Below are 26,619 nucleotides of genomic sequence, written 5' to 3' on the forward strand. Positions count from 1 at the left end.
ATTCTGCCTATGGAGACCTTGTTAATAATGCCAAAAATGCTTCACATTTGTATAGCCATTTTAAATTTTTTCCAAACCCTTGTCACATTAATCATCTTACATGATCTTCACAAGTCTCTTGGGAAGTGAGTGGAGAAAGGACTGGGATTCATATATTATGGATAAGAGAAGTGAGCTCAGAGAGGTTAAGCAACTTGACCAAGATCACACAGCCAGTCAGTCAGAACAGAGTCTAGAGATCTTATTTCTAACCTTGTATTTTTAGAAGTAGACTGGGTCACAAACACAGATTACTGCCCTCCTGGCCTACATCAGAAACCCAACCATGCATGTCCCAGGAAGTATAATTCCACCCCTGGATATATTTGGTTCTCTCTTCTCATTAATATTTGACTTGAGCATCACAGTTGTTCTTTGGAGCTATGTTTATCATTCTCGTGACTTGTTGTTCTCTTCACTGTCTGCCTGATGCTTGGAGAAATCAGTGGATGAGGGAGTGATTCAGTAGATCTTTCTTTGATCTGTTTTAAATGAAATCCTATTTACAAGATACACTTCACTTCTTTTGATGTGCAGCTCACTAATTAGCTCACATCTGAGAGTAGGTTCCCTGGAAGAAAAAAAAAATTAATTAGCTCATTCCATCTCAAAAAGACACAATTCTTGAACTAATTACGGTATTTGAATGATTAATCTCCTTTAAATACACGTGTTCAGAAGCATTACAGTTAGGAAGAATTGAGAAAGAAGACAGAAAGCTAAGGGAAGTGAAACCAAGTGGCAGCTCGAGGCAAAAATCCTGCCCTTGAGGCCCAAGGTAGAGTTTAGGGATTCTTTATTATCCAGGTGGAATTTCATTGGCATGCAAAATGGTGGAGCAGGCAAAAGTTGGTTCTGAACCCTCTTCAAATCTTTCACTTTCTGCTTCTTTGCCAGCTCTTGATGCCAATGTCTTAAGATCAAACTACGTATGTAAGCCTGCTGCCAAGAAAAGAAGTTATTTAATTTACAGTAAAGTGTTAATGACTGATCATTAACTAAATTACCTAAATTAATTGATTAACTAAAGTGTTAATCACGTTCTATCTAGTTTTGCTCCTCCCACAATTATGTACTTTTGAATAGGAAGCTACAATTCTACTCCAATGAATGATCCTCTACTTGTGGATTTTTAGGAGACGACATATGGGTTTGATTCAAGATCCCTTTCTGACTTATTGGCAGTGGCTGTGTGCTTCATGCCACAACCTGAATATAATCAGTTAGTATAAAATAATACTGTGGTACATTAGTGACATCTGCCATGGGCACAGAAATTGGGATTGGTCATATACAAATTATGTACCTATCATCCTGACTATAGTTTGTAGGAAAATGATATTTGGGGTACTAGGGAGAGATTTCAGGGGCTCATGAAATCACATTGTATGGGGTATCACCCATTCCACTCAAAAGGTTGGTGGCCACTATTGATCACCTGGCCAGTTAGTAAGTGTTTTTCTTCACTTCAACATTTATATTGTCAATCCCTTGAGAATAGAAATTATTACTTTTTTATCTCAAGGGTATGGCTCTTACTTGGTCTTAAATAAATATTTGTTGAATAAGTGCAAAGAAGACAGCACTGTAAGTGTGAAAAGAAATGTATTACTAAACGTGAACAATTACTATAAATGTTTAGAGCTAAGTGAGACTGAAGGAAAGGCACAAATATGATAGAACCCTTAGATAAGCTGGTTACCAAAATTAAGCACAGACCTCATAAAATCAATAAACCAAGCAACATGTTGGCTTGTAGAGTTCTCACTATAGGATTAAAAAACACTATGCAAGTCCATCTTGAAGGGCAACATTTTTTCTGGCACTTAGTCCTAGAAGAAATGTATCATGTGACTTATCCCTATGAAAGACCAATGAGTAATATAATGGCCAATGAGTTTAAAAAGGATTTTGCAAAAACTCAGCAATATTCCTTAAATGGAGTTTTTTGTACCAACCCTTTGAGATGCAGTGAGCATAGCATTAAACTGTGACACAGTGAAGCTATTTTTGAAATAATGTGTAAGAAAATTGTATGGTAGGCTGGTTATCATAGGAACTCCCTCCTCCTGCCCCACCAAGGTGGGTTCCTGCCTTCTCTGTGATCTTTTTCCTTGTGCCTTGCCCTCTCTTCAGGGCCTTCCTGTGCCCTTGATGGAGATGAGTGACTCATTGTGAAATGGAAGCTGAGTCCATGCTGATAGGTAGAATCCCTTTTACCGTCTCACCCCATTGAGTAAACTGAGGTGCAATGTACTGCAAGGAGCAGGTAAGGGGTGAAGCCCTGCCCCATTGTGGAATGTTCACGTGCCTTTGAGTCATTTTCCCTCTCTGGGCTTTGCTTTCTCCCCTGTACGATATAGAAAAAGTTGGATTATCAGGGGTCTGCAAACTTTTCCTAGTTTATAAAAAATAGTAAATAGACTGGGCTTCAAACATTCTCTTTTGTAACAACTCAACTCTGCCATCGAAGTTTGAAAACACCCATAGACAATATGCAAAGAAATGGATGTGCCTGTGTTCTGGTGTAACTTGATTTACAAAAATAAACAATTAGCTGGATTGGATCCATAGGCCATAGTTTGCTGACCATTGGATAAGTCGATATAAAGACAAAGCTAAGCAATAAAAATAGAACGCAAGCCACAGATGCAAGCCATGTATGTGATTTTAAATTTTCTAGGAGCCCCATTTCTTTAATAGTTTTTTAAAGGTAAAATTGATTATAAGAATGTTTTATTAACTCAATATATTCAAAACATTGTCAATTCAACATGTAATCAATATGAAAAAAATGTATCCATGAGATATTTTCCCCTCCTTTTTTAATTCTAGGTCTCTGAAATCCAGACTGTCCTTTACATATCAGCACATCTGAGTTGAACTCATCATATTTTAAGGATTCAGTATCCACATGTGGCTGGAGGAGTTACCATCCTGGACAGCACAATTCTAAGAGGTTCTTTTTTTTTTTTTTTTTTTTTTTTTTTTGAGATGGAGTCTTGCTCTGTTACCTAGGCTGGAGCGCAGTGGCGCAATCTCGGCTCACTGCAACCTCTGCCTCCTGGGTTCAAGCAATTCTTCTGCCTCAGCCTCCCAAGTAGCTGGGACTACAGATGCCTGCCACCATGCCTATAGCCTGGAAACAAGGAAAATTAGCCACCACGCCCAGCTAATTTTTTGTGTTTTTAGTAGAGACAGGGTTTCACCATGTTGGCCAGGCTGGTCTCAAATTCCTGACCTCAGGCGATCTGCCTGCCTTGGCCTCCCAAAGTGCTGGAATTACAAGCTTGAAACACCATTCTTGGCCCTAAGAGGTTCTTTCTACCCTACACCTACTCCTTATATTCTGCCAGAAAACATACAGCAGTGTGGTGGTGTTCTGTTTCCTCATCTCTGATAATTTAACATATAAGTCTGCAAAAGATGTGATAATGAATGTCAGGAGGTCAGTGCAGCTACTGAGTGACTTATTACTATCTCCACTGTAATTTGTATATAGCTGATAATGTCTTCATGCAGGGCTTCAAAAAAAGCCTCCTTCCACCTACCCCAAGCACTCTCCTAATGGGAGAGAAGTGTGAACATTTACTCTAGTGGTGAAGGGGAGTGGGAGTGCTTGTAAAAGCCACTTTAAATAAGGTATTACTCTGACATCTCATGTTTTACTTTGATGTGTATTCAATTTTGCTTTCTACTCCGTAATATAATCTGTTTGAATTTTTAATTTGAATTTCTTATCAGTTAAAATATTCAAACTCCCTGCCCTGCAAACACTCCCTTCATCACCTGTCCTTCTCACCACAAATCGGTGAGTAAAAAATTCATGCTCCAAAAAGATGCATCACAGTTACCATCGTACCCTTGGGAATGGGTTTATGTAACAAGGTGTTAAATTAGAAGTGTTAACTGAGGACCAAGACACAATAGGTATCAAATGCTAAGGTGGGTTGTGGCAGACCGAAAGGCAGACATTTCCTTTGAGAACCGTTCGTCCAGAGTGAGGGTATAAAAGGACTGGGAGAGAGGATTCATGGAGAGGATTTCTTTGGAGAGGGCTGTGCTGTGAGTCTCATCCTCACTTCCACTTTGCTATATCCTGGTGACAGGAGCTGTCCAAGGCAGCTAGGGGCTTGACAGTGGCACACAGAGACTAAAATCTGAAGGGCAAAAGATGGGCTGCTAAGGAGCCCATCTAAGGGGAGACGGGCTAAGGAGAGGCTGCAGTAACCAGCTAAGGAGAGGCTGCAGTAACCAGCTAAGGAGAGGCTGCAGTGCTTGGGTTTTCTTCTAGCCCTATAATATTCCAGAGCCATAGAGTTCATGTGGACCAGACACAAGCCATGAAAAACAAGGAGCAGGTGGGCAGGGGGAGGGAGGATAGGGAAAGAACAAGGCTGGTCCTCTTTCCTAGTGGAGGGTGCAGCGGGTGACAAATATGAATGAAGGTAGGAGCTTTGACCTTTTGACCATCTTAGGACCAAGTGAGCCTGAAATTCAGGAATTACAGTGATCAGGGCACTTCATATTGTCTGACAGTGTCCAGAAAACTACTCCTCCCCTCATAAAAGAAAGAATATGAGAACAGACTATGATTGTGTCATGCACTGGTTTAAGACTTCTGGCTTTAATATGTTACTACATACTCATGAGTAATAAATTCACATTAAATGAGAGATAGGTAAGAGAAGAGGAAGATTACTGCCTCCTGGATTAACTCCAAAGATTGGAATTTCAGGGCCCATTTGCCAGGCTGGTCCAGGAGCTATGCGGTACAGGTGGTGGTCTGTCCAACTCCTCAAATGATACAAAACTCCTTATGACAATACTGATATCTGTGATGTGTAGATAGCACACAGACTTAGTCTAGAAGAAAAATTAGTAACAATAACAGATAACCGTTTACTGAGGAATCACTATGTGCTACACACTGTACTTTTCTTACAACAAAAAACAAATGATCCCATTTTATAGAGAGGAAAGTGAGATTCAGAGGGGTTACTTACTGCTTCTTGTAAATCATAGAAGCAGTAAGTAGGAAAGACAGGACTGGAACACAGTTTTGTTCACTGAAACCACTACCCTCTGCTGCTTCTCTTTCCCAGCCCAGCTGTGCCCTTCAGCCGTTCGTTGCCTTTTTCTTTTATGCTCCTGTTCTCTTCTTCCTACATCCTCTTCCCTCTCTTCTAAGTGGTGGGATTCCATTCCCAGCTAAACAGAAACTCTCCTTCCCTCTTACCTGGGATGTATGAAATGAACAAGAACTCCCTGAGACTCACTAATTTTCAGCCAACTAACACCTCAGCTACAGAGAGCACACCAAGAAGCTTCACCGAATCCTGCAAAATGCTGGCTGAGCAAAGGCATGAAGATAGGCAAAAGCATGAAGATATAGAAAAGCAAATTCTCACTACTTGATGCAATCAGCTCAGAGTTCTGTTAACATGGGGTTGGATTGAAGATGAAGAAGTGTCCTTCTGTGGGCTCTAAGCAAACATCATGGTTGTGGTCAATAGGATAAAAACAAAATGCTACCATCTCATTACTGTTTCCACCCCTGCTGACCATCCTGAGATGGCTTCTGTTTGGTGCCCACCTATCAGAGCAGTTTCCCAGTGGAAAATGGATCAGCAACTGGCCAGATTCTCTTGTGTCCTTTCAGGGCAATGCTGGAGCACATTTTATCCAAAGCTCAAGGAGCGGACAGGCAGCAATTGTTAAGCACTCTCAAAGTAGCTGCACCCCATTTACATTGTCTACAAAAACATTATCTCTTGCTTTTTCTTCCTTTACTCCACTGAGTTATTAGGCTTCCATTATAAAATTGTAAAAATGAGTGTTTAGGCAGCCAGCATAATCACCACTTCACCAGGCCTCATGTTAAAGCAGGACGAGATCTTGAATGACATTTTTTGATGAGCAGAATCAGATTTCTTACTTACACAGGACTCTTCCCAGAATGAGATTCTTGACTTGAGAACATGCCAGAAGAGCATTTTTTGCCCACGTCTTCATGTGAACTCTGCCCTTGGATGTACATTTGAAAGAGAATGATAGAAATTCCTCCCTGCAAGGAGCTGATCTGACCCGGATTAAAATATGTTCATCTCTGAAATTAGTAAAGATCAGGGAAAAAAACTGGATGATATCTTGATTCTAATGCTGGAGTGTCTTGACCAGGAAGGGGCAAGCCCTAGAGCAGGAAGAAACAATAATAAATCATAGTGAAGCAGGACAAGCTATGATTTGAAGAGGACTCAAAGAAATTCATCCACAAATTCCTTGATGCTTTAATTTTTTAAAAAATGTTTATCGAGCACTCTGAAGGAAAAATCAAACTGTTTTTTTTCTCTCTACTCTCTTATACAGTCACTCAACACAACACTTCTGACACCAGCTTCTCCAGTGGAAACTAACTGGTGTCCTATAATTTGATTTAATTCTGACACCGTCTAGCTGAAAATGGCATCAGATCCTATGAGTTAAGGGTTAGTCTCACAAGAGTGCCCCCCGCCACCCTCTTCCCATTTCACATGCCAATTGCAAGTCGTAGGTTGTGACCCATGCTTCTGACCAACCAGCTATAAATTAGGGTTCCTACAACTGCCTCTTTGGGTTCAATTGATTTGCTAGAGCAGCTCACAGAACTTAGGGAAACGCTGTACTTAGATTTACCCGTTTACTACAAATGATATTTTAAAGAACACAAAGAGAAACAAAGGACAAGGCTAGAAGGGTCTCCAAATGCAGGACCTTCCAGACCCAGGGAGTTGGGGTATGCCACCCTCCCAGCACATGAGTGTTGTCTTGTTCACTAACTCGAAAACTCCCTAAACCCATTCTCTTTGGGTTTTTAGAGGCTTCATTCCATAGGCATGATTGATTAAATCACTGACCATTGGCAATCAAGTCAACCTTCATCCTCTCTCTCCTCCCCCAGAGGTGGTGGGTGGGCTTGAAAGATCCAATCTTCTAATCACTTGGTTGGTTCCCAAGGCAACTGGCCCCCATACTGAGGCTGTCCAGAAGCCCCCAGCCACCAGTCATTTCATTGGCACACAAGACACTTTTGTCGCTCCAGAGAGGCCAAGGGTCTTTCTTGGTATGTGCCAGGAACCGGGGACAGAAACCAAATATACATTTCTTATTATGTCACAATATCACAAACACCTAGAAGATATGACATTTATTTTAAAAAAGCAAGATGGATTATAACAAAAGAAAACATTTCCTAAGTGTGTAACTATGAGCTGGACTCTGAATAATGGCTTTAAATGATTGATATATAATCTATCTAATAACCTTATGATGTAGACACTAGTATTATTCCTATTTGATAAATGAAAATTTTGAAGCTCAGAGATTAAGGAATATTAATTAAGATCTCAAACCTATTAAGGGTGAATCCAAAACAGGAATCCTGCCTGTGATCTTTACAACTATGCAATTCTGCTCTAAAGGATAGAAGCTTAGGCTTAGGCTTTCATTTATGAATGAAATGAACATATAAATCCAGGGAGAAACTTCAAATAAGATTTTACTTCCAGCAACATTTTGGACAAATACGCTGAATATTACTGTCTCATAAATCTATTGCTTCACAACATACCACCCCAACATTTACCAGCTTAAAACAATAATGATTTATTATTTGTCATAATTCTATGGGCTGGCTGGGCTCAGAGGGAGCAGTTCTTCTCCTCCACATGGTGTTATCTGGAATCACTCATGTGACCGCATTTACCCAAAGCTCAGATGAGTCTGAAACTTCTATGATTGCCTCTCCTTCTCACCACAGGGCCTCTCCAGCAGTTTAATCTGAGCTTCTTAAGTGGTGGATCTGATTTTTCAAGACAGCAAAAGCAGAAACTCCAGGCATCTTCAAGCTTATGCCTAGAACGGGTGCAATGTCAACTCTGTGGCAATTCTGTCTGTCAAAGGAAGACAAACAAGCCCAGATCTAAGGGAAGCAGAAATATGGCCCACCTCTTGATAGGACAAGCAGCATGTGTATATTGGAAGTTGAGAAATTGTTTGCATCATTTCTGAACTTTGGGCCTGCAAGGTGGAGGAGCTGAACCTTAGACAATTTCATTAAGCTGGGCTCTTCAGAGGCACTAATGTATAATAGTTCCAGGTCAATAGTGTCTCTCAGCTTCCTGAAGAAGCAGATATAAATCCTCTTTGGAGGAAAGCACTTTCAGCATACTTCACCAAGATTCTTATTAAGTTTAACAAAATACGAGCTCAGAATTTTTAAAATCTCCAAAACACAAGAAGTAAGCCATCATGAATAATAAGCAGTAAACACATCAAAAAATACAATTAGACCTCTCCAAAACTTCAGATTTTGAAATTTTCATATATAGTATATAAAATATGTATAAATGTATATATTTTTAAATAGTTTTATTTTATAAATTAACCATGTAAATGACTTAGCCAATATGAAAAGTGAAAATTTTACAAATTATAAGTGTCGTTTTTGTCATTAAGCTAGCATTAAATAACATAGTAAGCATAGCTTAAATAAGAATCAGTAAACAGGCACTTTGGGAGGCCAAGGTGGGTGGATCATGAGGTCAGGAGATTGAGACCATCCTGGCTAACACGGTGAAACCCCATCTCTACTAAAAAAAAAATAATGATAATAATAATAATAATAATCAGTAAACTGGAAGATGGAGCTAAAGAAATTACCTGGAATGTAACAGAGAGACAAGAAGATGGAAAATATAACAGATTGATAGACATGAAGAATAGAATGAGGAAGTATCATTGCTTCCATTGCCTAGTAAAGACCCAGAAGAGGAGAATAGAGAAGATGATTATTCATAGAGATAATGGTTTATAATTTTCCAGAACTTATAAGTAACCCAAATCCATAGATACAGAAGGCAGAATGTGTACTAGGTAGGATCAATAAAAAGAAATGCATGTCTAGACACAGTGCAATGAAACTGAACACCAATCAAAGACAAAGGAACGATCTTAAAAGCAGCCAGAGAGAAAATGCATGTCCCTCACACAGATGGATGTTGATTTCTCAGTAACCACAAGGGATATCAAATACCTTCAAAGCATGGAAATAAATTAAATATCAAGCTAAAATTGTGTGCTAATAAAAACTATCTTTCAAGAGTGAGGACAAAATAAAAAACACTTTCAGATAAACAGAGACAGTTTACTTTTAGCGGATCCTCATCAAAGAACTGTTGTGTTTCAAGGAGAGAAAAACAACCCATTCATAATTGTAAAAAAATCATCAGCACATGAGAGATGGAAGAAAATTTCCTTAACCAAATGAAGAATATCTATCAAAAACTCTACTGCAACCTTATTCTTCATGGTGATACAGTAAATGCATTCTCATTTGAAAATGAGGCTACACATAAAGTGCTGTCATAGACAGTGTTCCACAGGAAGCAGACATTGAGCTAGAGGTTGGGATACAAAATGCTTACTCAGGAGTGCTCCTGGGATTGATGTATGTGGAAAACAGAGGAAGGAAACTGGCTTGGGCAGAGGAAAAAGTTGATCTAGGACACAGTTCCAATGAAGACCTCAGCCAACCTCATGGAGGGTACTGGAACTGGCCTTTTAGAATTGTACCCAATTGGGAAATGAAGGCTAGGCTTTTATATCCCCATGTCAATCAGTCATTGGATGCTGATTGGTCCTGGAAGAAGGCATACCTTGTGTGAGACAGCTTTTTTCAAGCAAGACGATCCCTGAAAAGGGCTTAAAGCTGAGGGTTGTCTTCAGGTAGCACTCTCAGTAGCTGTAGGCATGAGTCCTTCATTTCCAAAGAATCTAGGCAGCGTATAATAACAGCCATCACAGATGCCCATCACCAAAACTTCTATTCAGTGTTGTCTGGAAGTCAATACTGCCAATGCAATAAGACAAGAAAAACCGTAAGAGTTACAAGGATTAGAAAGAAAAATTGCCATTATTCACAGATAATATGATTATCTTTAAAAAAACTCAAAATAATGTACAGAAACATTATTATAATGAATAAAAACAATTAAGAACATGGCTGAAAATAAGAGTAATATATAAAAATTAATTGCATTTCTAAATACCAGTTAAAACAGAATTCCTGAAGAAACTCTTACATACACACCAGGAGACATGTACAAGAATGTTCATTGTTTCAGTATTTGTAGTAATGACACCGTAGAAACAATGCAAATGTCTGTTCATGGAGAATAATAGATCAATTATGGTATATCCACACATGAAATTGTATGCAGCAGTGAAAATTAATGAACACACAACACAGATATATCTGAGAAATAGTTTTGAGCAAAAAAGGCAATTTCTTGAAGACTACATAGAGTGTAACTTTTTTTAAATGAATATAATCAAAAGTACACTTTGAATTATTTAGATAAATATACATGCATAATAAAATATTTTTTTAAACAAAGATCATACAAAGGAAAATTTCAACATAATAGTTGCTGGGATAAAAGAGGAGAATGGAATTGGAAAATAACACACATGTAACCTTAATAGGGAAAGTTCTTACATCAGGTGGTGGGTTCATGGGCATTTGTTTTATGATTATGCTTTATAAGTTGTACATATATTACAAATGCTCTTTTATAAGTATCAATAATTTTGAAGTTGTAAAAAATATTTTTAAAGAAAGAAAATTCAGCATCACAACATATAGTAGATATGGTCTGTTAAGGAAAAGAAATTCAATGACCCTTGTTAAAGCACAATAAGGGAGATTTTATTTAGGACCATCCCAATGCAATGCGATTTTTCCATGAAGGAGAGAGATTGAGCTCAACTGTGAATACAGCATGGGCAAGGGGGAATTTATAGCCAAGAAGTAAGGTAGGAACCAGTGGTTGGAAAATCAGTGAGAAGTAACATCAGGAGCGACGGGGATTTTGACTCAACCATTCTAACATGATGTTTGCTGAAGACAGGCCAGTGCGACCAGACATCACCTGGGGGATGGTGGAAGATGAGGAGCCTGATCAGTACTGAGAGTGATCAGGTATAGAGGGTAGGGATTCCTTGCTAAACTGATTTAGCAGGGTTTTTGCTAAAACTGGATTTTACAAGGAAGTGCACAAGTGAGTCTAAAGGTTCAGGAGGCTGACTTATGTTTGGTTAACAAAGAATCTTTGCCAGAACTATAGTGGAAGGACTAGAAAAGCCTTCGTGGAGAAGATGGATGAGATTCTGGCCTTGAATTACAAATAAGATTTGAAGAACAATTACATTAATCTGAGAGCCAAGAGACCCCCAGGGAGGTCAGAGTCTTCCCTGATTCCTTACCTGGTAGGTGATGAGGGAAGCAGTACTTAAAGATTTCTTGGGCAAAAGTGCAACCTTTTCCAAAATAAGGAGAAAAACTCACTCTTGCTTCTGTCTGTGATGGCTGTGGGGCCTTTGTGAAGTGTTGGCTTGAGACACAAAAGCATGGACAATAGAGAGACTGCCCAGGATGACAATATTAACACATTAGACCTGGGCTCAGGTACACGTACCAGGGAGCATTCTAAACTTCTGGAATTTGAGCAGGACAAAGTTTCTAATTGATATATAAAGCATGATCACAAGGCTAGTTCTTTGAGAATATTATGATGTTAATCAGTGGATGTCTATTGTTTTTGCTGCCTAATCATACCCATCTACTTTTCTTCAAGGCACCAGACCTGACTTTTGCTTATAGCACTATTCCCTCAACTTTCAGCCCCTGTAGTTTAGATGGGTTTTTCTCCCACCAGCTCCAGGAGTGGGTGGCTGACCCAGGTCTAGAAAATCAAATCACTTCTTTCTAATTAGCCATAATGATAGCTTAGGGTTGGGTACTTAATGAAAGCCAAACCAAAAACATACACTCTTGGGTTTTTACTAGGGCAATAGAGGAAAAGAATTGCTCTTCCTATTGGAGTTGCTGAAGGAATTGGTGCAAAGTCTGGTGCTGATGGCAGCCGTCTTGCCGCCATGAAGCGAGGGACTGAGAGCGAAGTGGAAAGCAGAGCCACTAGAGAAGAGGAACAGCTTGCTCATGGTGGGTCTTCTGTTAATTACACTGAAAGAGACTTGGGTAATGCCTTGGGGTGATTTGAGAAAAGCCCTGCAGTGCTGGATTGAGAGAAGCAGTGTGGCGTGGTGGAAGAAGAAAGAGACGTGACTCACAGATTTTCCTCTTCTTCAAACTCACTGCAGGACTCTGAAAAAATTATTTAATCCCCCTGGCCTAAATTTTCTCATCTATAAAAGAGAGATTATTAATAGATTGTCATAGTTTGTCATGATTAAATGTGTGAATGCCGTGTTTGATACACAGAAAGTATCCAATAAATATTATCTTTTATTCCTTCTATTAGCATTCTTACCTCCTTTTCCACCCTCTGCAGTGCCTTACTTTCCCTTCACCACAAAAAATAGTACTTTATTTCCAAAAAATTGACAGAGAGAGAGAGAGAAGAGATTGAGATTATTGATCTAGTATCCAAGACAAATACAAGCTATTTAAGTCTGAAACAAGACAAGAAAAAGTAGTTTCTTGCCAGAGAAAGATGCTAGCAATGACTGCTTAACAGATGCCAGCCCTGTTAGGTTTTCCTTGACATTGTGAGCCAAGCTTCACTCAAGCCTAATCCGATTGTTCCAACCCCAGAGAACTTGTCTGCAAGTTGGAGAGGATTAACAAAAAATACCTCACAGCTCCTGCAGTTGTGCAAACATCTAATGCTTTTCATGTCTGATGTGTCCAGACACATTCAATGTCACCTGAATCTTGATAAGTTATGAAGCCAGAGATTTGTAATAACAGTGTATGTAATAACAGGTGCCCCATTTTTCAAAAAGGGATAAGAACATCTAGAATCCACAAAACACAGAATGCTTACATGGAGGAGCCCCAGGAATTCTCCGCTTACAAATCAGCACCCAAAGTAGGTAACCTGCCCAAGGTCCCTTATCTGTTTTAAATCACAAATCCTTTTTTTTTTTTTTATTGCTTTTCTCTGCTTGAATCAGGAGGAAATTTGAGCCCAAGATGCAAATAGACTTCAGCTTACATGCCAACTCCAATCAATCATTGCTTTTTGGAGAAGCACTATATTGAGAAAGATTCCCAGTCTAGCCTTAAAAGAAAATGGTGCTATCATCAATAAGCAATACCAGCCATGGACAACAGTTAGGATGGGAGGCCTGTCTGCCACATGTTTGCTGACCTTGAATTCTGGGCCAACAAGGTAGTTATAGCAGGGATGGGGACGGGAAGGTAAAATTTTAGGTTACTTGTACTCTCTGCCCTTCTTCCTAGACAGGCCCTGTATTTCTACTTATCCCACTGTGTATTTTATTTTTTGTGGTGAACCTGGTGGTTAGGGTGGCTGTGAATCCGTGCTCCAGTTTTTTTCCATCCTACATTAAATAAGAAGACAAATTGCAACATTGGGTCTTGAACCAGCCAGATAACAAGTTTTGTTTGTTCCTCCTCTTATGGGGGATGATCCCCTAGCCAAAGATGTCACAGATTCTGGAACACAGGAGAGGCTTCATGTATTATTTGATAAGACCTGATTTTATAGGTGAGGAAACTGAGTCCTGAAGTAGGGAAATGGCGTTGAAGTTATAGAGGGAAACACAGACTACCGGTCTTTCCACAATACCATAGACATTTGCTTTATTCTTCCCCCAAATTTATTTCCCCAGTTATGGTAAATCTAGAAAATTTTGGGAAAAAAAAAAAGCTAAATTACTGGCCCTGTGGGATACTGCAGTTTTAGCAGAGAAAATGCAACATAGATACAAAGTGGCAATGACTAGCTTATGTCTCAAAAGCAAGTGACAGAGAGTGACAGGAAGACTTTGAAATGACAGTGGTAGTGTTATTCTACTAAGAAGCACCTCCACTTTCTAATTATATCAGGAGTCACTCAGAAATCTTTTCCTATGGTCCAGAATGTAACACATCGCTTTATGGTAATATCTGCTAAAGACAGTATATGAATATATTGATAGTCTTGCATTTTGATGATTTTGAAAGTTTTGATGTTTTTGTATTTGTTTTAGCCTCTACTCTGGGCTGGGTGTGTTGCTAGGTGTCAGAAAGACAGAGATGATAAAGCACAGTCCCCGCTTTGCAAAGCTCACATCTAGTTGGAGAGACAAACAGGCAAAAATAATAATAATAAGGTATGGCACAATATAAATGGAATTATAAATGTGTACATAGGTACAATATCACAAAGTCTAGAATGATTAACTTTGGAAGGCACTAGGAAATTTTTTACAGAAACAACATCTGGGCTAGGTTTAAAAGGGCTGGGCTTAACATGAAGAGGAATTCGTTACTAGCTTTTATACACTTACCCGTTCAATAAACATACTAACTCACCCAAGGCATGTCAATCACCGTGTTAGGCACTGAAGATTGGGAGATACATAAGACAGGGTCCTGAACTCTCTAATCTCCAGACTAAACAAGAGGCGCTTACATAAACAAAGTATTACATTACAGTGTGTTCAAAGCAATAGTCAGTGGGAGCACCAAGTAAAGACATAGGAAAGGCTGTGCTTAGGAAAGGATGTGACTGGTCTTTTTTTCTCTGTGTTTGGAATGCCCCTTTTCAGCGAGTATGTATGGATCATTATGACAAAATTGGAATATCAAGGGGACAGTGACTATTTATGAGCAAATCAATGAGCAGATAAGGAACTGAAAAAAATGACTGAAATCCAGCTATCAACCTCCATTTAACAAAAATTCCTACGCATTTACCTTGTGCTAGGCACCATACTAATTTCAAAAAACACAAGAGAGAGAAATACTAAGCAGCCATGAAACCAAGAGGGTAATGGTATAGGTGATAAGAGTCAGTCTTCCTGGGCTCAAATCCTAGTTTCCCAACCCACTAGCCTCAGGATCTTTGACAAACTGTTCTCTGTACTTCAGTTTTTTTCATTTACAAAAAGCAGATGACAAATAACTCTGCTAGTTGTGATATTAAAACCATAAAAGAGGCAAAGTGCTTAACCCAGTCCCTAGCAAATGCTAAGTACCCAATAAAAATGTCTTCAACAAAGAAGACATTAATCATGCTAACAGTCTAAGATCCAAATGATAAGTAGAACTTTGTCAGAAAAAGAGCAGGGAACATGCAGGTTTTAATCAAAGAAATGACATAATTAGATTAAATTTTTAAAACATTTTTATTAAAGAAATTTAAAACAATATACAAAAACAGAGGACATAATATAACAGAGAACATAATATAACATGCTCTAATATTCATACCTCTCAGATTCCACAATTACCTAGATTTTGCCACATTTGCTTCATCTGTCACATTTTTATTTGCTTAAAAATTTTTAAATGTTATAAATTAAAGACATAATTTTACCTTTATATACCTAAGCATGCATCTTTTTAAAATATGGATATTTTCTTACAAGACTCACCTTGCTCCTTTATCTCTCTGCCATGAAGAAAAATGAGAGGGCATGTCAAGATAGACTCCCATCAGCCTGGGCCCTTAGTAGATAAATAGTTCCTAAGATTTCGGTTATTTTCATTGCACTATAATCTACTCTATTTTGTCTAATGTAGGTGGTATTGTGAACCACCTGTTGCATCACATCACAGGGCACATAATTTCTGGTTGTCCCACTTTCAGTAATGCTAAGATTCATTAGCGCCTTCCCTCTTCTCAAGCACTTATGAAATATTCTCCAGAATGGATCACATGGTAGGCCATAAAATAAGTTTCAACACATTTTTAAAAATTGAAATCATATAAAATATGTTCTTCAAACACAACAGAATTAAACTAGAAATCTACAGCAGAAAGAACTACGGAAAATACACAAATACTTTGAAATAAAGCAACACATTTCTAAATAACCCATGGATCAAAGTTGAAAATGCAGGGTAAATCTTAACTGAATGAAAATGAAAACACAACATATCAAAATTTATGGGGTGCAGCTAAAAAGGTGCTTAGAGAGAAATGTGTAGCTTTATATGATTGTGTTTTTAAAAAGGAGAAAAATCTCAAGTCAGTAACCAAAGTTCCCACCTTAGGAATCTAGAAAATGAAAACAAACTCAATACAACGTAAGGAGATGAAAGGAAATAGCAAAGATTAGAATGGAAATAAATGAAATATAAAACAAAAAAGTAAGTTAATAAAATCATAAGTTGATTTCTTTGAAAAGATCATCAAAATTGACAATCTTTAGTGAGACTAATCAAGAAAAAGAAATCAGAAAGGAAAAAGTTGATACCACCAGCTCTACAGAAATTAAAAAGGTAAGGAAATACACAAACAATTTTACACCAACAAATAGATAATTTATATAAAATAAACAAATTCCTAGAAAGACACTGGTTACCAAAACTGATACAAGAAGAAGTAGAAAATCTGAATAGATCCAAAACAAATAAAGACATTAAATTAGTGATTAAAATATCTTTACACACACACACACACACACACACACACACACACACACAAAAGCTCAGGCCTGGATGGCCTCATTGGTGAATTCTATCAAACCTTTAAAGAAATAAGAGCAATCCTCTACAAATTCTTCCGGAAAATACTGAGAAAAAGATCACTTCTCAACTCATTCTATAAGACCAGTATTACTCTGATACCAAAGCCAGACAAAGTTACCACACAAAAAGAAAATTACAGACCAATATCTCTCATGAATATAGACATTTTAATTATATCAATTATTTCTATCTATGAACATGGAATGTTTATCCATTTGTCTGTGTCATCTCTGATTTCCTTGAGGAGTGTTTTGTAATTGTCGTTGTAGAAATATTTCATCTCTCTGTTTAGCTGTGTTCCTAGGTATTTTATTCTTTTTGTGGCAATTGCGAATAGGATTGCATTCCTGATTTGGCTCTCAGCTTGGCTATTATTGGGTGCATAGAAATGCTAGTGATTTTTGTACATTGATTTTGTATCCTGAAACTTTGCTGAAGTTGTTTATCAGCTGAAGGAGCTTTGGGGCCGAGAATATGGGGTTTTCTAGCTATAGAATCATGTCGTCTGCGAACAGGGATAGTTTGACTTCCTCTCTTCCTATTTGGATGCCTTTTATTTCTTTCTCTTACCTGATTGCTCTGGCCAGAACTCCTAACACTATGTTGAATAGGAATGGTGAGAGAGGACATCCTTGTCTTCTGCTGGTTTTCAAGGGGAATTCTTCCACTATCCTTTGCCTATTCAGTATGATGTTGGCTGTGGGTTTGTTATAGATGGCTCTTATTATTTTAAGGTATGTTCCTTCAATACCCAGTTTATTGAGAGTTTTTAATATGAAGGGATGTTAAATTTTATTGAAAGCCTTTTCTGTGTCTATTGAGATAATCATGTGGGTTTTGTCTTTAATTATGTTTATGTGATGTATCATATTTATTGGTTCGTGCGCACTGTACCAACCTTGCATCCCAGGAATAAACCCTACTTGATCATGGTGGATTAGCTTTTTGATGTACTCCTGGATTCCTTTTGCAAGTATTTTGTTGAGGATTTTTGCATCAAGGTTCATCAAGGATATTGGCCTGAAATTTTCTTTTTTAACTGTGTCTCTCCTAGGTTTTGGTATCAGGATGATGTTGGCCTCATAGAATGAATTGAGGAGGTGTCCCTCCTCCTCAATTTTTGGGAATAATTTCCATAGGAATGGTACCAACTCTTCTTTGTACATCTGGTAGAATTCAGCTGTGAATCCATCTGGAGTGGGTCCTTTTTTGGTTGATAGGTTATTTATTGCTGATTCAATTTTAGAGCTCATTATTGGTATGTTCAAGGAATCAATTTCTTCCTAGTTCAGTCTTGGGAGGGTGTATATGTCCAAGAATTTATCTATCTCTTCTAGGTTTTCTACTTTGTGTAAATAGAGGTATTTATAGTAGTTTCTGATGGTTGTTTTTATTTCTGTGGGGTCAGTAGTAATATCCCCTTCATCATTTATAATTGTGTTTATTTGGGTCTTCTCTCTTTTCTTCATTATTCTAGTTAGTGGCCTATCCATTTTATTAATTTTTTTCAAAAAACAAAATTCCTGGATTTATTGATCTTTTGAATGATTTTTCTTTTCTTGATCTCCCTAAATTTAGCTCTCATTTTTGTTATTTGTTGTCTTCTGCTAGCTTTACTACCCCCACATGTTTTAAAGAAATTGCTGGACATTCTATCATCTGAGTACTTTCCAGCACCTTGAAGAGACATCATTATCCAAATCCCTGTCCCTTTTCTCAACTTCTGCCAATCTGGTGTTTCGTTAAAGTTCATTTCTTTATTGAAAGATTTTGATTTCCTTTAAAAATTCAACACAGCTTGGCCGGGCACGGTGGCTCACGCCTGTAACCCCAGCACTTTGGGAGGCCGAGGCGGATGGATCACGAGGTCAAGAGATCGAGACCATCCTGTCTAACATGGTGAAACCCCATCTCTACCAAAAATACAAAAAAAATTAGCCGGGCATGGTAGCGGGTGCCTGTAGTCCCAGCTACTCGCGAGGCTGAGGCAGGAGAATGGCGTGAACCCAGGAGGCGGCGCTTGCAGTGAGCCGAGATCGCGCCACTGCACTCCAGCCTGGGTGAGAGTGAGACTCCATCTCAAAAAAAAAAAAATTCAACACAGCTGTGTTTCACAGAGATACTTAATGCACAGTTTGACTTAAAAATAGAATCCTTCTGTTAGCCAGAAGATAGCGGAGAAGAAGGTCAGATGTAATGGTAACTTCATTCTCAAACCCTCTTCGGATTCCTGACTTTCCCATAAAAATACTGAGGTTTGGTTGGCACTAGACAGCCCCTAGTCAAGTGCACCTGTGTATGGGGGCAGAGAAAAGAAGCACCTCATTCTTCTTAGAAAAGATCTTGACTGATGGCAACCGCTCAGCCTCTTGTCCTCGACTTCTTAGAGTCATGGTTCAGAGACAACTTCCTACTCACGTCCCCAAACACTTGGATGTTGTGTTACAGCCCTGCATACTTGTTAAGTAAAAAAGCTTTTGTCCCACTTGGAGTCTTTTTTGTTATTACTTGCAGTCTGAAGCTGTTTTAACTTATCTCAATGCCCTTTGTCACTGATATCTGCTTTGTTCTATAAACTGTGCCTACATGAGGGCTGAAGCTCAGTGCTTAGTTGCCAGTGATTTCCTTAAGCTCCCTGAGACCTCCATTTCCCCACCTCTAAAACAGGGCTCATTTTCCTACCTACTTCATATAATCACTATGATGATTAAATTAAACATGGTACCCAAAGAAGCATAGCACCATGCCTTGAATATGCTGTTATTGTTGTACTTACCCATTTATCTCATGTGTGTGGTTCAATCTTCCACATTTATCTCCTATTCTGAGAGACCTTTTTCCTGTCCACTTAGGTGATGATGGTTAAGATGATTATGATTGGGATTATGATGATTATGATTGTCTGTCTAAGGTAAGGTTCTTAATCATCATGAGTCTGAATATTCTCATATGTAAAATGGGATTTTAACGTTTTGTAAAGAAAAAAAAAAGTTGTAGTGTGGATTAAACAAATAGTGGATATAAAAGCAGCCAACACTGTGCCTGACACATTGTAAGTACTCAACAAAGATTTGAGTGATGGTAAGAGCCTAGGCTGGGTCACTGGTTTAGGTGGAAGTATTTTTCTGACAAAGTGAAAAGATTCAGGTGTCATCCTTTGGGTGGGTGGAGAGACACAGTTCTCCTGTGCCTGTACAGGGGACCCAAATCAGTGTCATTTTCAAACATAAAGTTATTTGAGCTAATCTGAGTAGTTTAATAAATGTCACAAATTTCCAGAGTTCTCCAGGCACATTAAAATGAGGTTATTCCATTATTGTCAATTCTCTCCAAATTATCAACCATAGTCAACTAATCATTTATCTGTTCCCAGAGCTAGAAAATCAATCCATTTTAGGTAGGTTATGAATCTAGTTCTAGAACTCAGTAGCCTTTGTGCTACTAAACTCAGCTGAACAGGCCCCCAGGGATGAAGGAGTGGGAAGGAGACAGCACTATACTGGAAAAAGTGGTTTTAATTTTAACTTTTATTCTGTATTAACCATTTTCCCACACTGCTTTGTAAATCACAGCAAGGAAAGAGAACAAAGTAATAAAAACAAAATATATTCAAATAAAGCCCCACAGTACAACATAGCAGTAGGTGATGGTGCCCTTGGGGGGCTTATTTTTTTTAATGCCTCATTTGCGTCTGATTTTGAAATTTCAGAAGGCAGAAAAAAACCTTAGTTTTGACTTGTTTAAAAAAAGTAGAAGTTTAGATTGCCTTTGAATCAATGTACAAAACATGGTCCCTTAAAGCTCCTTTTTTTTTTTTTCCAGGACACCATTCTGAGGACCTCATCCATTTCTTAGTAAAAATCAAAGAGACTGTTAAGGTTCTTACTTCTCAGATTTGTTTAGGGCTATTATATTAATCTATCTCTACGTACAATGGAGTTGCATCATATACACACTCAACTCCATGAATTCGACTTTGTGTATTTGGCAAAAGAGAACTAGCTAGAGAGGACTGGGAAAGTTCTGGCGAGGCCACCTGCCATTTTTCTTGCCCCTGAGCAACACTGGTTGGTTTCAGGGTAAACTCTCATTGCAAAAGTGCTTGTCCAGGCCAAAAGTGAATCTGTGATGGAAATTCATATTTTTTGCCTCTACACTTCTTTGTTTGGTGATCAAAGGAAGAGACAGCAACATCTTCTCATCCTGGAGGGAAATGTAATGGACTTTCAAGAGTAGTTTTAGCTATATAGTCAACATCAAACCAACCCACAAAAAGATGTGACTCTCCTGCACACCAGATGCAGGAGACATGAATTGGGATGGCTGCCCAGATCACAGCAGTTGCCTCAGTGGCACCTTATGTCCCATGTTCGTGGCTGAATAATCCTGGGACAGAGACATCTGATCTAAGCCAGAACAATCAGCTTCTCTCTTAGGAACCTGAAACCCTAAAACCCAAGTGGAAAGGTGCAGAGGGGTGTCTCTGCAGCAGAGTCATTTGAGTGATATTTCCAATGACCCCCAGGGCTGAAATCCCCCAAACTGCTCTGATTTTGGCTCTTTTCAAATCCTAATTGTTGGGCAACTCTTACAATTCTATGAGCTTTCCTAATATCTTCAAGTAAGTTAGCCAGTTTCTTTCTGTTTGCTACTAACAGAACCTTAATTAATACACCAAGCTATCATCCCCTTAAGTTAACAGCTTCTTGGAATTAGAACTAAGTCATTAACAGAAGCTCAAAGGGCCCAGAGGGTGCCTAGTGCTTTAACAGCTCTGAATGGCACAAAATGAAAATGTCAAAAGGCAGAATCAGAGCAGTTCAGCGACATAGGCTGGTGTTTCCCAAAGTGGTTTCCTCAAACCCTAGTTCAGCAAGATGATCTCTGATAAAAAGGTACCATGGTCAAATAAGTTTGGGAAATGAAGTACACTCTATTCCTCACCTTCAAAGTCATACGAATAAGCCTTTCAGATGCACTCAAAAGCCCTGAAGTAGACATTCGATTTCCTTAAACCAGAATTTCAAAAACATATTAAAAATAGCATCTAATCTTCTCTATCTCCATCCCTGTACCTGACTCATCTCGTACCCCAAACCCTATTAACACACACTTTGAGAAGCATTAATAGAGGCTATGGGGAGAAAACCTCTAGTGCAATGCTGCCTGGGAGCTTTGGCTTTTACACTGATAACTCTGGTTAAACGTTTTGGTCCCTCCATCACTTCTCAGGTGTTTACTGAGAATTACAAAGGGCTCAGCCCTGTGTTGGATGCTCTGGGAGCAATCATACTGTGATTAGAGGCGTGGGAGGACATGATGGGAGTCTTAACTCTGATCTGGAGTTCAAAACTGACTTGCTTTCTTGGGAAAAACTTGATCTCTTTACGACTCTGTTTCCTCATCAAATGGGGCTATTGCAATCAACCTCACCTCACCATTGAATAAAACAGATCTACTAGAATAATGAATATAAAGGCACTTTGCCAACTTCCAGACATCAAATAAGTATCAGCTATTACAGAGAATAAATAACTTAGAGAATGATGCCAGATATTATGGAGAGAAAGCCTGCTAACCACAGGATTGCAGCCTTATGCCTTGTGATTTTTGAACGCAATAAATACTTTAATATCTAAGCCAGGAGTGGTGGCTCACGCTTGTAATCCCAGCACTTTGGGAGGCTGAGGCAGGCTCCTGAGGTCAGGAGTTTGAGACCAGCCTAGCCTGGCCAATATGGTGAAACCCTGTCTCTACTAAAAATACAAAAATTAGCCAGGCATGGTTGTGGGCACCTGTAATCCCAGCTCCTCTGGAGGCTGAGGCAGGAGAATCACTTGAACCTGGGAGGAGGAGGTTACAGTGAGCCGAGATCTTGCCACTGCACCCCAAACTGGGTGACAGAGTGAGACTCTGTCTCAAGAAAACAACAAAACAAAACTCTAAAATCACAGCTGAGTTTTAAGTCCATCGATAATTTACTACCAAAATGAGAATTTTCATTTGTACCAGTACCTGTTAATTATTTTGCAATAACAAATCACCTTGAAACTCACTAGCATACAATAATCAATATATATTTCTCAATCATGTGTCTGGGGATGGCTGGGGTTCTTTGGGTCTAGACCAGGCTTGTTCAGGTTTGGCTCCAAGCCATGAGTTTGTCCACATCTGCTTCACGTGTCTCATTCTCCTTGGACAAGTGGCAATGACAATGGCAGAGGTAGAAGAGGGCACACCAACTACATAAGCACATTTCAAGCCCTAGTTCGGTCAGGTCCATTAATATCCCATTGAACAAAGCAAGTCACATGGTCAAGTTCAACATCTGTGGGTGGGGGAAGAAGAAGACTCTTCTGGATGTGGGGTGGGGGGAGAGGAAGAGAATATTTACTGAACAATAATCTAATCTACTACAGTATGGTTTTTGCCTTCTTTCATTTCAAGCAGGTAGTCAGACCCATAAGGAATTACTTCCTTGGGGATTATGTTGTGTAGAAGAGGCAGAGGAGGAGGTGAAATTACCTGAAGGCAACAACTTTTTCTGTCTTTCATAAGAGCTTAGAAATTATTGAAGAAAGCCATACCTTTGAGGTCAACCAGAAATGAGAGAATGTCTTTGAAGTAACTCAGAGGGGAAAGGAAGGCAGTTTGCAAAATTTAAAGAGATTAGTGTTAGAATGGGGAGATCATCTGCTAAAACATGGCTCCCAAGTGCAGAGCTACTTTATCTTCAAAAAAACAAACAAAAAAAATCCTTCAGCCCCATAGGGAACTCAAAATACTCAAAATAGAGCCCTCATATCTACAATGACCACTGAGCCCCAAGCTGTGAGCACATCTCTGGCCATCATGATAGCATGGGGTTTGGAGCCCCATCCCTGTCCTCTGGACACTATCTAAGAGTCCTGGATTCAGATGGGACCCTGGGATGGCACAGGGCCTTATCATAGCTGAGGCTAAATTTCCTGCTGGGTTACACACTCAGAGGCAGAATAGGTTTCTCTCTGAAAAATTAAGGAGATGATACATCATACATATCTGTATTTATGGCCTAAGATTCCATACCTACTGCATGGATAATTAATTTATTTAATTTTATTTTTGCTACTATGAATGGTATCCTGGCCTCTTTGGGTGACTTGATGTTGGTTGTCAAATTTAGCAAATATGTATAGGATGTCCAGTTAAATCTCTATTTGAGATAAACAATAAATAATTTCTAGTATAAGTGTATTCCACATAATATTTTGGACATACTTATACTAAAAAAACTACTCTTTGTTTATCTGAAATGGAAATTTAATTGGATGTATTTTATCTGGCAATTCTATGTAGGGCTTTATAAGCTTGAAGAATTCTTTGACAAGTAAAGGATAACTTTTTGCCAGCCTGGCCTGTTCTATAGCTATACACCATACTTTGAGGACTAGGGTTGCTCAGAAGTCAGCGTGGAAGAAGCAGAAGGTAGACTCTCCACTGGGGACACGGAGGAGTGGTGAGCTCTGCTGTCCCTAGTGAACCAAGTGCTTCACCCATGACGTGCCCCTTCGTTTGGAAGACATGTCAGACGAGAGCAGCGGGAATTCTCACATCCAGCCTACTTCTTCCCTGACCTTACTAATTTAAGATGGTTTCCACAATTTTGTGGACATAACTGGGTAATCTAATAAAGGTAGATTAAATTACAGCTGAGTATTTTCAGATCCGAACATGGGAAAAATGTATCTTGTTTCAAAAAACGATAAACCGCCCCACACTTGTTTTGTTTTTCTTTCATCTGGGAACTGGGCAAACAGGAACTATCTCGAGTTATTATATGTGAAAGTCTGTGCAGTTGGGTTGGTTTTTCTAACCAAAAAAAAAAAAAGGGGGAAAAAAGAGGAAGAAAAGAAAGAACAGAAAAGAAAAAATTTAAAAAGAAAACCTTTAAATCCACAAAATTTTTTTTTCTCATACCAAAAATGTAAGGGACCTGAACTACAACTTTAGAAATAGATATTTAATTTTTTAGAAAGTACCAATGTTTCATCAACACACACACACACACACACACACACACACACACACACATTTCTAACCAATGTTTCAACACACACACACACACACACATTTCTAACCAATGTTTCAACACACACACACACATTTCTAACCAATGTTTCAACACAAATACACACACACACATTTCTAACCAATGTTTCAACACACACACACACAAACACACACATTCACATTTCTAAAGGCTTGTTGAGTAAAAAAATGCCAGCTACCAAATCACTTAGGTAATTCTGTGAGCAGAAAAACAAAAAAAAAACAAAAAACAACAAAAAACAACATGGGTTTGAACCAAATGAAATATTGGCCCTGTTTAGGTTCAGCTGGCAGCATATTTAAATACAGAGATTTTGATCTGGTTCAATAGGTTTAGAAAATTAGCATGGTGAACTCTAGGTTTTAGTTCACATTGGAGGTTGAGTCCCAAGAGAGAAAATGATGGTCTTTTCTAATTTGCGTCTTTAAGCCAGTTTGTTTAAAGTTTCCCTTTACTTACTTTTTGTTCAGCAATATTAGGTTGGCATGGTGGTCTCACAAATAACAGCATATCTCCAGTGAAGCGGAGTTTCTTTGCTTAAAACTTGTGGGTATTTCTTGGGCATTTTCTCATGAGCAGAGTGTGATGGACAGGACCCATGTGGAGTCGCACAGGCCAGGGTTGACCAGAAGACCATTGGCAGTGCAGTCTCATTCTCTTTCAGATTCCCTCCAAGAACTGTTTTTCCTTCTTGCTTCAGCAAATGAATTTGGAGCTTCCCAGAACTCAGAAGGTTCAAGACGAGATGCTCAGTGCTCCAGAAAATGCAAGATGCTTTCCTTAACTCAGACAATGCAAATTCTCAATCTATTGGCTGATGCTGACCTTTCCATGTTTTAGGAATAAAGTGTCTGAAAACAAAATGAGAATATGTACAAAAAAGCAACAACAAAAAACTTCAGGGAGTATAAAATATCCAAGAGAACAAACTGTTTTAAGCACTATAGAACTCTTCAGAAACACCTATATATTCAGTGTACAATTACAAATAATTCATAGGTGGTTTCTGAAATATTTTAAGTTCCAGGATACATGTGCAGGATGTGCAGGTTTGTTACATAGGTAAACGTGTGCCATGGTGGTTTGCTGCACCTATCAACCCATCACCTAGGTGTTAAGCCTCACGTGCATTAGCTATTAGCTATTTATTTTTAAAGTTTAAAATTTTTTTTTAAATAGGTAAACCCTCTCCCACCACCACCACTCCCCAAATATACCCCGCACATCCAAAATGTATTTACAAAGCAGGAGGGGTGTCTATCCTGGTTTGATCATACACTCAGCCTAATATCCTAAAATTGCTGTAAGTACAGACCTTTAAATTCAGCCATGTAGGAACTTCAAGCTTTGCGTGGCTACAGTTCCTTGATTTTGCAGTTGAGTGAACTGAAATTCAGAGAAGTCAGGTGAAGCGACTTACCTAAGGTCACATGGTTCATGATTTATGAGGGCAGGATCAAAGCTTAAATCTCCTGTTCTTGAGTCAGAGCATAAAAGGAATCAAAGCTCATAACAGTGTTCCTGAAGCCTCACAACAATGCAAATCATACCAGGACAACTGACCTTTAGCCATCCTCCAGTCCTTACTAGGCCAGAAAGAGAACCTGGATGTTCTGGAAAGATGTTGAGTAATCCCAGGATTGGAACAAAAGCATTTTCTGCTTGACCCTTAATACTTTTAATACTCTGAAATACTCTTAATGTTCTGAAACAACTCAATTTCTCCAAGTATTTATAGCTGTTTTGCATTGTGTGGGGAACCCTTACATTCTAGGTACCCCACTTTTCCATATCAATCAGAAGGGTCTTTGTTAACACACGCTTAAGCTAGGGTTTTTCTAAGCTTTCCTATGAGAGTCCCGCGCAACTGAAACTTGCTTTTCATTACAGTTTGGGGGTCTTGACATTTAGGACACCACTGTCTATCATGGGATGATTAATT

At 38.8% G+C, this 26,619-nt stretch overlaps 1 long non-coding RNA gene across 1 annotated transcript; it reads right to left on the bottom strand.

Moving 5' to 3' along the window:
- Positions 1-243: 243 nt before the first annotated feature.
- On the bottom strand, positions 244-7,004 carry LOC105377687 (uncharacterized). The gene is made up of 3 exons (XR_941144.3): positions 6,936-7,004; positions 5,982-6,232; positions 244-610 (listed from the first exon to the last, which is right to left on the bottom strand). It is a non-coding gene; the product is annotated as an uncharacterized LOC105377687 (long non-coding RNA).
- Positions 7,005-26,619: the final 19,615 nt, after the last annotated feature.

This window comes from Homo sapiens, chromosome 5 (assembly GCF_000001405.40).
Source record: "Homo sapiens chromosome 5, GRCh38.p14 Primary Assembly".
Taxonomy (NCBI): domain Eukaryota; kingdom Metazoa; phylum Chordata; class Mammalia; order Primates; family Hominidae; genus Homo; species Homo sapiens.